Raw genomic sequence first — 12,426 nt, forward strand, 5'->3', positions numbered from 1 at the left:
GGAGCAGAGTGAAGGAGAGGGAGTGTGGAGGAGCTGGGGGCAGAGAAGAGAGGGGGGCAGATGGGGGGCCCTGTCGGGAGGGCTCTGGGTCTTACCCAGAGTGAGGTGGAACCCTGAGAGAGTCCTGATCTGATTCACATGTTCCCAGGATCTCTCTGGCTGTGTGCTGAGGCTGGGGAAGGATGCAGGAGGAAGAGGGAGCCAGGAGGAGGCCGCTCTGACAATACAGGTGGCAGTGGTTGGTGGAGGTAGCGAGCAGTGGCTTGATTGGTATCTCTGTTGAATCTCTTGCCTAGACCCTCTCTGTGTCTGCTTCCTGAAGACCCGTCGCTTCTGCCCCACAGGCCACAGGGGCAATGTGGCTGCTTACGGCTCCTACACTGGAGCACAATTCCAGCCGCATGCAGGGATGAATTGGTTCTCCAGCCCATGACACACGTCAGGGAGAGAAAGCAAGATTGGTCCAGGGTGAAGGCCAAGTGGCTGGGGGCCCTCGGGGTATGTGGGTGAGCAGTGTGACTTCAGGGCTCTTCCTCTGACTGCCTATGTCTACATCACAGCTCCACCTCTTACCCCAACTGCGTGATCTCTCTCAGGCCCCTTAGGTGCTCTGAGGCTCAATGTCCTCATCTGTAAAATGGGGGTAATAGGATCTGTCAACCAGACACGGTGGCTCGCCTCTCATCCCAGCACTTTGGGAGGCCGAGGCGGGCGGATCACCTGAGGTCAGGAGTTTGAGACCAGCCTGGCCAACATGATGAAACCCCGCCTCTACTAAAAATACAAAAATTAGCCAGGTGTGGTGGCGGGTGCCAGTAGTCCCAGAGACTCGAGAGGCTGAGGCGAGAGAATCACTTGATTGCAGTGAGCTGAGATGGCACCACTGGACTCCAGCCTGGGTGACAGAACTAGACTCTTTCTCAAAAAAAAAAAAAAGGATCCTCCATCTAAAGTTGTGAGGGCGAACTGAGACCATGAGTTTAAAGCACTTATCACAGGACTGGAGACATAGCTGGGCTCAAGTGTATCAGCTGCTGCTGTGTTTTATTCTCATGTATTATGTATTGATATTTATCGTTAACAGTTGTTGTCACTGGGAGTACAGAATGGTGGTTAAAATATCGTCTCTCAAACCAGACTACCTATGTCTACATCCTGGCTCTTATCCCCCACTAGCTACATCATTTCGGGCAAGTTATTTCATCTCCCTGGGCCTCAGTTTCCCCCACCTGGAACATGGAGGTGGTGGTAGTTCCTGTCTCGGGGTTGCTACGGCGGCTAAGTGAGGTGACGCCTATAAGATGCTTAGAACAAGGCCAGGCAGCTTCCACAGGCTCAGAGTGGTCAGCACTGTCACTGCCACCTACTGTGCCACTGCTCCTCCTGGAGGCAGGGACCACAGCTCGCTCCCTGAGAGCCTGTCACCCACCCAGGACCACCCATTGGTCCCCTTCAGAGTCCCCAGGCTGAACAGACCAAAAGCATTGCACACACTTATGCAGCTGGTATGATTTCTCTACCCAGCCTCTGGTTTTTCAGCTTTTTTTGGAAGCATAAATCCTTTGACTCCAACAAAATGTTAAATGCTCCCCTAAGATGTCAAGCAGGTTAATGCATAGCTCTCTGGTTGAAGGTGAGGATGGAAGCACAGAGCACGTTGCCTGCCCCTCCCCCGCTACCACCAGTGCTGTCTGAGCCCAGAGCCCAGGGACCCACCACCTCCCTGGCACCTGCAGCTCCGCGGTTCCTCCTCAGGACTCAGTGCTGAGCACTTAGCACATAGGATCTCGTGAGGCAGGTGCTGTCATTGCCTCATTTCTCAGAGGAGGAAACTGAGGCTCACTGAGGGGAATAGACCCCACGCAAGTTGGCCACTGTGTTGATGGGAGCCAGGATTGGAACTGGGTCAGGTGGACAGCAAAGCCCACACTATGCTGCCCCAGTTTTCAAGTTGATATTGAGACTTCAGGAGGACGCATGGGCACACTGGCGCTCCAGAAAGAAAGAACGTTCAGGCTGGGCGCTGTGGCTCACGCCTGTAATCCCAGCACTTTGGGAGGCCGAGGCGGGCGGATCATGAGGTCAGAAGTTCAAGACCAGCCTGACCAACATGATGAAACCCCGTCTCTACTAAAAAATACAAAAATTAGCCAGGCATAATGGTGGGTACCTGTAATCCCATCTACTTAGGAGGTTGAGGCAGGAGAATCACTTGAGCCTCCTGAGTAGCTGGGATTACAGGTGCACACCGTCACACTTGGCTAATTTTTTTTTTTTTTCAAGTACAGATGGGGTTTCGCCATGTTGGCCAGGCTGGTCTCAAACTCCTGACCTCGGGTGATCCATTCGCCTCAGCCTCCCAAAGTATTGGGATTACAGGCGTAAGCCACTGCACCCGGCTGGCCACTTACTTTTTACCCTGTGCCATTTATGTAGTTTAATTAGACTTTTTTTAGGGTTGGTTTTTTTTTTGTTTTTTTTATTTGCTTGTTTTTTGTTTTTTTTGAGTGATGGGGACTCTGTCACCCAAGCTGGAATCCAATGGTGCAGTCATGCCTCACTGCAGCCTCAAACTCCTGGGTTCAAGCGATTCTCCCACCTCAGCGTCCCAAGTAGCTGGGACTACAGGCATATGCCACTATGCCCAGCTTAATTTGACTTTTATTCCGTACATGTTCCCCATCATTACTACTTTCAGAGAGAATCCATTAGTGTACACTCCTCCAGAGATTTTTCTCTAAACCTTTACCAACCCAGTTCTTTCAAACATACCACTTAGGCCAGGCATGGAGGCTTACACCTGTAATCCCAGCACTTTGGGAGGTCAAGGCAGGTGGATCACCTGAGGTCAGCAGTTCAAGACCAGCCTGACCAATATGGAGAAACCCCATCTCTACTAAAAATACAAAATTAGCTGGGTGTGGTGGCACATGCCTGTAATCCCAGCTACTCGAGAGGCTGAGGCAGGAGAATCGCTTGAACCTGGGAGGCGGAGGTTGCAGTGAGCCAAGATCATGCCATTGCACTCCAGCCTGGGCGACAAGAGTGAAACTCCGTCTCAAAAAAACAAACAAACAACAAAAAAACAAACAAACAAACAAAAAACATGCCACTTAACCCTTACCTTGCAAGAAATACAGTGACTTTTTAAAAATTCTAGTTTAGCTGGGCCGGGCGCGGTGGCTCACTCCTGTAATCCTAGCACTTTGGGAGGCCAAGGTGGGCAGATCATGAGGTCAGGAGATCGAGACCACCCTGGCTAACACGGTGAAACCCCATCTCTACCAAAAATAGAAAAAACTAGCCAGGTGTGGTGGTGGGCGCCTGTAGTCCCAGCTACTCAGGAGGCTGAGGCAGGAGAATGACGTGAACCTGGGAAGCGGAGGTTGCAGTGAGCTGAGACTGCGCCACTGCACTCCAGCCTGGGTGACAGAGCAAGACTCCATCTCAAAAAAAAAAAAAAAAATTCTAGTTTATTTTGCCAGGCGCAGTGACTCATGCCTGTAATCCCAGCTCTCAGAGAGGCAGAGGCAGGAGGATAGCTTGAGCACAGGAGTTCGAGACCTGCCTGGGCAATTTAGTGAGACCCCATTCCCCACAAAAAGGGGGAAAAAAGGACAAAAAAAAGTATAAAATTCTACTTTATTTCTTTTTTTCTCTATACATATGTGTGTATATCTATCTATATATTTTTTCCCTTAAATACACAGAATCATGTTTTATACCATGCATCGTTTCCATTTACTATAGTTCAGACCATCTGTCCTCATACATAAACAGAGATTGACCTTTGCACTGGCTGCATAGTTTTTGATCATAAGGATATGCTTGCGGCAGGGCGCAGTGGCTCATGCCTGTGATCCCAGCACCTTGGGAGGTCGAGGCAGGTGGATCACTTGAGGCCAGAAGTTCAAGACCAGCCTAGCCAACATGGTGAAACCCCGTCTCTACTAAAAATACAAAAATTATCCAGGCATGGTGGTGAATGCCTATAATCCCAGCTACTCAGGAGGCTGAGGCACAAGAATCGCTTGAACCCCGGAGGCGCAGAGGTTGCAGCGAGCCGAGATCACACCACTGCACTCCAGCCTGGCCATTTCCAACTTTTCCTGATTATAAACAGTACTACAGAGACCGTCCTCATACCTGCCTGTGTGTGCTTGTGCAGGCTTTTGGTGTGTGTGTGTGTGTGTGTGTGTGTGTGTGTGTGTGTGTGTGTGTGTGTGTTTTGTAGCTAAGACTATGGGACTATGGGCATGTGCTATTATTCCTGGCTATTTTTATTTTTTTGTGGAGGCAGGGTCTCTAGGGCTGGGCATGGTGCCTCACAACTGTAATCCTAGCACTTTGGGAGGCTGGGGTGGGAGGATCATTTGAGCCCCGGAGTTCAAGACCAGCCTGGGCAACATAGCAAGACCCCGTCCCTAGATAGAGTCTCTACAGCAACTCCTGGGCTCCAGCAGTTCTCCCACCTAAGCCTCCCAGAGTGCTGGGATTACAGCATGAGCCACCATGCCCGGCCTTGTGCAGGCTTTTCTATTGCATGGATTTCTGGGAGGCCAAATGTCTTGTTTTTGTTTTTGAGATGGAGTCTCACTCTGTCGCCCAGGCTGGAGTGCAATGGTGCGATCTCGGCTCACTGCAACCTCCGCCTCCCAGATTCATGCCATTCTCCTGCTTCAGCCTCCCGAGTAGCTGGGACTACAGGCGCCCACCACCATGCCCAGCTAATTTTTTTGTATTTTTAGTAGAGACAGGGTTTCACTGTGTTAGCCAGGATGGTCTCGATCTCCTGACCTCATGATCTGCCCGTCTTGGCCTCCCAAAGTGCCGGGATTACAGGCATGAGCTACCACACCCAGCCAGGCCAAATGTTAAGCTGAAGCCAGTCATCCTTCAGTTCTCAGTTCTGATGCTCTTGTCTCCTGGGGAAAGCATTCCTGACCATTCTTGGTGTTACATGCTTCAGTAGTTCCCTGGACATCTCCTCACCAATGCCTACTCTTTGCTCCATTGATAGATGTTGCTAAATTGTGGAAAGCATTACATAGTTGCTGTTTCAATCCAGTCGGACAATCCCTGCCTTTTGATGGGAGTGTTCAGACCATTCACGTTAAATGTAATTATTACTGCTAATGGTTGGATTTGCATTAGCCATTTTGCTATTGTTTCTGTATGTCTACTATCTTTCTTGCTCCTCTGTTCTTCCTTACTGCCTTATACTGTAGTAAATAAATACAGTTTCAGGCCGGATGTGGTGGCTTACACCTGTAAAATCCCAGCACTTTGGGAGGCCCAGGCGGGCAGATCACCTGAAGTCAGGAGTTCGAGACCAGCCTGGCCAGCATGGCAAAACCCTGTCTCTACTAAAAATACAAAAATTAGCTGGGCGTGGTGGCATGCACCCGTAATCCCAGCTACTCAGGAGGCTGAGGCAGGAGAATCGCTTGAGCCAGGGAGGCGGAGGTTGCAGTGGGCCAAGGTTGCACCACTGCCCTCCAGCCTAAGTGACAGAGTAAGACTCTGTCTCAAAAGTTAAAAATAAAAAATATATATAATTTAGTATAACATTTGGATTCTACTCTTGTGTAACTATCTTTTTAGTTATTATAATGTGCGTCTATCACTGCAATTCAGGTTAATACTAAATTCCAATAAAATATAAAACTTTTCTCCAATATTGTCCTATTTCCTTCTCCCTTTTTTGTGCTCTGTTTATCATAAACATCCATATGTGTTTTAACCCAGCAGTATAGTATTGTCATTATTGCCTTATACAGTCTTATGTCTTTAAGGAAGTTAAGAGAAGAAATAAGAAAGCATATACTTTTATAGAATCTTATTTTAAACCACAGTTTGCCATCTTGGGCTATTCATTTCTGTCTACTGACTCAGGTCATTGTCTAGAGTCATTTCTTTCAGCCTGAGGACTTTTTTTTTCTTTTTTTTTAGATGGAGTCTCACTCTGTCACCCAGGCTAGAGTGCAGTGGCGCAATCTCAGCTCACTGCAACCTCTGCCTCCTGGGTTTAAGCAGTTCTCCTGCCTCAGCCTCCTGAGTAGCTGAGATTACAGGTGCCCGCCACCACTCAGTTAATTTTTGTATTTTTAGTAGAGATGGGGTTTCACCATATTGGCCAGGCTGCGAGCTCTCCTGACAGGCGATCCACCTGCCTTGGCTTCTCAAAGTGCTGGGATTAACCCGAGGAGTTTTAAAATTATTTTGTATCAGGCAGGTGTGCTAGCAACAAATTCTCTCCATCTCTGTTTATATAGGAACATCTTTCTGTTGCCTTCATTTTTCAAGGATGGTTTTGCTGGGTATAGAATTCCTGGTTAACAGTTGTTTTCTTTCAGCACTTTAAAAGTTACATTTTATTTCATTCTTTTAAATGAGAAGTCAGCAATTAATTGTGTTTTTTTTTCTTTTTTATAGAAGTGGGGTCTCACTGTGTTTCCCAGGCTGGTTTCCAACTCCTGGGCTTGAGTGATCTTCCCGTCTTGGCCTCCCAAAGTGCTGGGATTATAGGCCTGCTAATTGTATTGATGCTCCTCTATATGCGATGCATCATCTTTTTCTTGATGCTTTCAAGATGTTTATCTTAGCATTTTTCTTTTTTTCTTTTCTTTTTTTTTTTTTTTTTGAGACAATTTCACTCTTTTTGCCCAGGTTGGAGTGCAACGGCATAATGGCGTGATCTCGGCTCACCGCGACCTCCGCCTCCCGGGTTCAAGCGATTCTCCTGCTTCAGCCTCCCAAGTAACTGGGATTATATGGATGCGCCACCACACCTGGCTAATTTTTTTGTATTTTAGTAGAGATGTAGTTTCTCCATGTTGGTCAGGCTGGTCTCGAACTTCTGAGCTCAGGTTATCTGCCCGCCTTGGCCTCCCAAAGTGCTGGAATTACAGGCGTGAGCCACCGCGCCCGGCCAGCATTTAACTTTCAACTCCTTTTCTAGGTGTGAATCTCTTTGTATTTTTCCTACTTGGTGTTTGTTGAGCTTCTTGGATGTGTAAGGTTTTCATCAGATTTAAGAAGTTTCCAACCATTATTTCTTCAAATATTTTTTCTGCCCCTTCTCTCCTCTCCTTCCAAAGTTCCTGATGCACATATGTTGGTACCCTTGATACCGTCCCAAAGGTTCTGCTCTGGAAGAACTTCTTCACTCACTGAGCTGGGAAGAGGTGGGGGGAGGACAAAATGCGACAAATTTCCTCTGTTCTTCCCTAAAGTTCAGTTTCTCAAGCATACATGCTTCTCAAATTGTTGTATGTGTTTGGTCAATTTTCGGAGTACTGAAATGGTCATTTGTGGTCAATGTTGTCATCTCTGGGGAGATGTGCCAGTCTTCTCATTTGACTGTAGTCAAAGTACCATCCTGTGATACTGCTAAATTGACCCTCAAAAGGGATTTATTAACTTATATATATAATCCTAGCTGGGTGTGCTGGCACATGCCGTGTTCCCAGGTACTTAGGAAGCTGAGGTGGGAGGATCGCCTGAGCCCAGGAGTTCGAGGCCAGCCTGGGCAACATAGCGAGACCTTGTCTCTTTAAATAAACAAAAAACCAATAATCCTCCCACCCATCCCCCACAAAATGCCCCCTTTTATATACACATGCGTATGTTTTTGCATAGAAAAAGGTTGACCGGGTGCGGTGGCTCACACCTGTAATCCCAACACTTTGGGAGGCTGAGGTAGGCGGATCATCTGAGGTTAGGAGTTTGAGACCAGCCTGGCCAACATGGTGAAACGCTGTCTCTACTAAAAATACAAAAAACTTAGCTGGGCGTGGTGGCACACATCTGTAATCCCAGCTACTGGGGAGGTTGAAGCAGGAGAATCGCTTGAACCCGAGAGACTGAGGATGGAGTGAGCTGAGATTGCACCACTGCACTCCAGCCTGGGCAACAGAGTGAGACTCTGTCTCAAAAAAAAAAAAAAAAAAGGTTAAGGGCCAGGCCCAGTGGCTCATCCTGTAATCCCAACACTTTGGGAGGCCAAGGCAGGCGGATTGCTTGAGCCCAGGAGCTCAAGACCAGCCTGGGAACATAGTGAAACCCCATCTCTACAAAAATTAGCTAAGCATAGTGGTGCATGCCTGTAGTCCCAGCTACTCGGAGGCTGAGGTGGGATGATCACTTGAGGCTGGGAGGTCGAGCCTGCAGTGAGCTGAGATCGCGCCACTGCATTCCAGCCTGGGTGACTGAGACCCTGTCTCAAAAAAAAAAAAAGAAAGGTTAGGAAGGAAATAGAGCAAACTGTAAGCCATAGTTCCCTGTCGAGATGGGCAGGAGGTAAGATCCCCACCTTTAGCTGCGTAGGTTGTACCAAGGAGACGGGAGTGAATTTTTCAGATTCCTATAGAGGAACCAAATGTGCTAGAAGGCCATCCTTGGGTGGGATTAGGCGCTGTGCAGGCAGTCTTCCCTTTTCTACAGATAGGCGTCTATACTGTTGGAATTTTCCACAGCGGTAATATATTTGTGTCTGTCTTGTGCAAATGAACTTTTTTGATTCCCAAGAGTAAACTTCAATAGCTCTGTCTTGCCAAATGTGGAATGGATTTGGTTTTTTTTATCTCTTTCATTTTTGCTTTGCAGTGACATGGGCTCGAGGGTTGGCTACCCCGCTCAGGTTTACAAAACTGCCAGTGCAGAGACTCCTCGGCCCTCCCAGCTGGCCCAGCCCAGCCCCTTTCAGCTCTCCGCCTCCGTCCCCAAGTCCTTCTTCTCCAAGCAGCCTGTACGCAATAAGCACCCAACAGGGTGGAAGAGAACGGAGGAGCCCCCACCACGGCCACTCCCCTTCAGTGACCCAAAGAAGTAAGTGCCTGGACGTCCAGCGAGGCGCCCGCCAGATCCACACCAGGGCGTCTCCGGGGCGGAAAGAGGGTGATGCCACATGCTGTCATTGCACAGACGACTGTGGGCCAGTGTACCAGTGTACACACTGGGGCTGCAGCTGCAAGCAGGACAGGCGAGAACCCCTCTTGGGGAGCTGGCATTCCATTTGGGGTGACCAACAATAAGTAGAATAAGAGAAGCACGCAATAGGTCAATGGTGGTTATCCTTGTGCCATATCCGGGTGTGGAACATTCCAGGGAGAAGGCATAGCAGCTGCAGAGGTCCTGAGGCAGTGAGTGACACGGTTGCCTGTGGGCAGGCCGGGGTGGCTGGAACAGTTTGGGCCAGGGGAGGGTGTGGGAACATGAGGTCAGGGAGGGATGGGGACAGACCATGGAGGGTCTTGAGGGCCACGTGGAAGGGACTTGGCATCTTCCCTGACTGAGATGGAGCCACGGGAGGGCATGGAGCAGAGAGGGGGCAGGATCTAAATTGGGCATTCCAGGGTCGCTGTGGCTGCGTGTGGGGAACAGCCTGCGAGGAGCAGGGAGGAGCTGCTGTCATGGTCCAGGCGCAGACGAAGGGGCGGGAGCAGGGTGGGGGCGGAGAGGGTGAGAAGGGGGCGGTTCCGGATAGATTATCTGAAATGGAGCAGACCGGGCTTGCTGGCAGGGTGGATGTGGTGTGAGAGAAAGAGAGGGGTTGAGGATGGTGCGTCGTCTTGAAGCCCGGAGGACAGACTTGCCTTGAGTGGGGAGCAGGCTTGGGGAAGGCACAGTAGCTCAATCCTGGATGCTTCGGTGCGAGATTCGCAGGAGACATCCAGACGGAGGCGTGAGGGGGGCCCTTGAGTAAGGAATCCCGAATTCAGTGGAGAGGTCAGGCTGGAGGGAGAACTTTGGGTGTTATCAGCCTAGAGCTGCGAGGCTGGAAGAGCCCCTAAGGCAGGGTGTGGAGAGAGGAGAAATGTGGGACTGAGACTGAAACCCCTTGATGTTGAGCCAAAGTGAGAAGCCGGGGAAGGCGGGGAGGTGCGGAGGCGGAGAGGTGCGGAGGCGGGGCCAGGGCCAGGAGAGGCGGAGCTCGGGCGAGGAGGCTGGGCCCAGGCCAGGGTGATGAGACTGAGAACCGACTATATAGGGTTAATCCTCCCAGAGGTCGCCGGAGGGTTCAGGAGAAAAGGGTGAGGCAGAATTGAGGAGCTGCGTGAGCAGTTCATTTGGGGCATTTTGCTTTAAAGTGAAAGAGGAGAGGGGTGTGCAGTTGAGAAAGGGTTTTGTTTTTCAGTCGGAGGATACAGGAGCTAACATTGCCTGAGCACTCACCACATCGAGGTTCAGTTCTAAGTGGTTTGATGCGAATGAATTTACTGGATCCCACAACAGCTCCATGGGGGTGGACCTGTCCTCCCCCCACCCCACCCCTTTTTTTTTGAGACGGAGTTTCATTCTTGTTGCCCAGGCTGGAGTACAATGACGTGATCTCGGCTCACTGCCACCTCCGCCTCCCGGGTTCAAGCGATTCTCCTGCCTCAGCCTCCCGAGAAGCTGGGATTACAGGCATGCGCCACCAAGCCCGGCTAATTTCGTATTTTTAGTAGAGACGGGGTTTCACCATGTTAGTCAGGCTGGTCTTGAACTCCTGGTATCAAGTGATCTGCCCGCCTGAGCCTCCCAAAGTGCTGGGATTACAGGCGTGAGCCACTGCGCCCGGCCCCTGTCCTCCCCCTTTTACAGATGAGGCAGCTGAGGCCCAGAGTCACAGGGCTGGTGAGGAACACAGCCTGGATCAGAGCCCAGGAAGCCTGGGTCAAGGCTCACGTCTCTTGAGTGAGGGGCTCTGCCCTCCTCCATCCTGTTCTTTGTAGTGTCATCTTTCATGACCTACATGGAGACATTCAAATCCGGGGATGACACAGAGCTTGGAGGGAGAGACGTGTCAGGAGACAGAAACAGTGTCCCTGGAGATATCAGCAGGCAAGTGTGCTGAGCTCACACTGAGAGCCAGAGGGGATTCTGAAAACTAGACTGATGATTAAAACTGCTTAAAAACTCAGCAGCCTCCCCATGCTCCCGGGATTAATGATGCAGGCTCACATTGACTACACACGTTTATACCAGGCGCCATGTTCTTTGCCGAAACTCCCGCTCAGAGCCTGGATGATCTGCCCCTCACCTCTGCCCTCGTTCCCATCCACTCTCCCCTCCTTGCTCTGTTCCAGCCACACTGGCCTCTTGCTGTTCCTCACACTCTCCACGTCCAGGCACACCCCAGGGCCTTTGCACTGGCTCTCACTGCTGCCTCCAGTGAGCTCCCTCCAGATCTTCTTGGGTGCAGCTCATGAGGACTCGCTCTAATGCCACCCCCTCAAACAGGTCCTCCTGGCCTTCAGTAGCCCAGGCTGTCATTCTGTGTCACTGTACTCTGTTCCACATCCCGTGTCCCCCATGGGAAACAGGTGCCACCGTCTTAGTCACAAGGCACTTGTAACGTGCCTGGCACACAGGGCATGCTCCATCCTGAACATAAGACGTGTGGATCTTGTTTGATTCTCACGTGACCCCAATAAGTAGATACTATAAGGCCCCCACTTTTCAGTGTGGCCCAAGTTGGGCCCTGCTGAACCCTGTTACCCTCCTCAACAATCACCCGTACACACTGCTTCCTCTGCCTGGAACCCACCCCCCAACCCGCACCCCCACTCTAGGCCCACTCCTGCCCACCCATGTTAATTTGCTGGGGCAGCCGCAACAAACTACCACACACTGAGTGGCTTAAACTGCAGAAATGTATCATCTCACAGTTGCGGAGGCCAGAAGTCCAAGTTCCAGGCGTCAACAGGGTGGTTCCCTCCAAGGGCGGTGAGGGAGAACCTGTTCCTGGCCTCCCTCTTAGCAGCCGGTGGGTGTCAGCACGTAGATTCATCACCCCCGTCTCTACCTCCTCTTCGCATGATGTTCTCCCTGCATCTGTGCCCACATTTCCTCTTTCTGCAAGGACGCCAATCTAACGGGATTAGGGGTCTACCCTAATGACCTCATTTTCACTTGATTGCCTCTGTAAAGACTCTGTCTCCAAATGAGGTCACATTTGGAGATGCTGGGGCTTAGGACTTCAATGTAGCTTTTTGTGGGGCCCCAGTTCAACCCATAACACCACTCCTTGGGTATCAACACAGACACGCCTTTCTTGCAGAAGTTGTCTGAACCCCCACACCAGGCTCAGCCCACCCCCAGCACCTGTCCCAGGGCACAGCGACCGCCACTCCCTTGGCAACTTGCTTCCTCTCTGTCACCCCCATGGGGCCCAGAACAGAGACATCCTGAACCTCACCCAGACCACACACTTAGTAGGTGCTCAGAAGATGTACCTGGAGAGACAACAACCCTATCCAACAACAGCTTTCCCAGTGATGAAATCCAGAGATGGCTTGTATATGTGTGTGTTGGTGTAAACATATGTAAACTAAGCATATAAAATATCAGCAGGAGACACAAATGAAATCGCTTCATAGTTCCTTTTAATATTTATTTATTTATTAATCTATTTATTTTATTTATTTATTTTTGAGATGG

The 12,426-nt window shown here is 50.2% G+C and overlaps 1 protein-coding gene across 7 annotated transcripts in view, besides 1 other annotated feature; it reads left to right on the top strand.

The window, feature by feature from the left end:
• SIPA1L3 (signal induced proliferation associated 1 like 3) overlaps positions 1-12,426 on the top strand; it is a 301,162-nt gene that overhangs the window by 266,704 nt on the left and 22,032 nt on the right. For all 7 annotated transcript variants that reach the window (XM_047438486.1, NM_015073.3, XM_017026518.3 and 4 more), the window contains one exon: positions 8,608-8,829. In XM_047438486.1, coding sequence (XP_047294442.1) covers positions 8,608-8,829 — 222 coding nt within the window. The remainder of the gene's footprint in view (positions 1-8,607; positions 8,830-12,426) is intronic.
• Positions 1,580-2,080: an enhancer, noted in NCBI's record as "H3K4me1 hESC enhancer chr19:38666131-38666631 (GRCh37/hg19 assembly coordinates)". NCBI's record gives its function as "activates a minimal SCP1, AML or CMV promoter by ChIP-STARR-seq in naive H9 embryonic stem cells {active_cell/tissue: H9 hESC(naive)}" and the evidence as "EXISTENCE:reporter gene assay evidence [ECO:0000049][PMID:30033119]".

Source organism: Homo sapiens, chromosome 19 (assembly GCF_000001405.40).
Source record: "Homo sapiens chromosome 19, GRCh38.p14 Primary Assembly".
NCBI classification, from domain to species: Eukaryota; Metazoa; Chordata; class Mammalia; order Primates; family Hominidae; genus Homo; species Homo sapiens.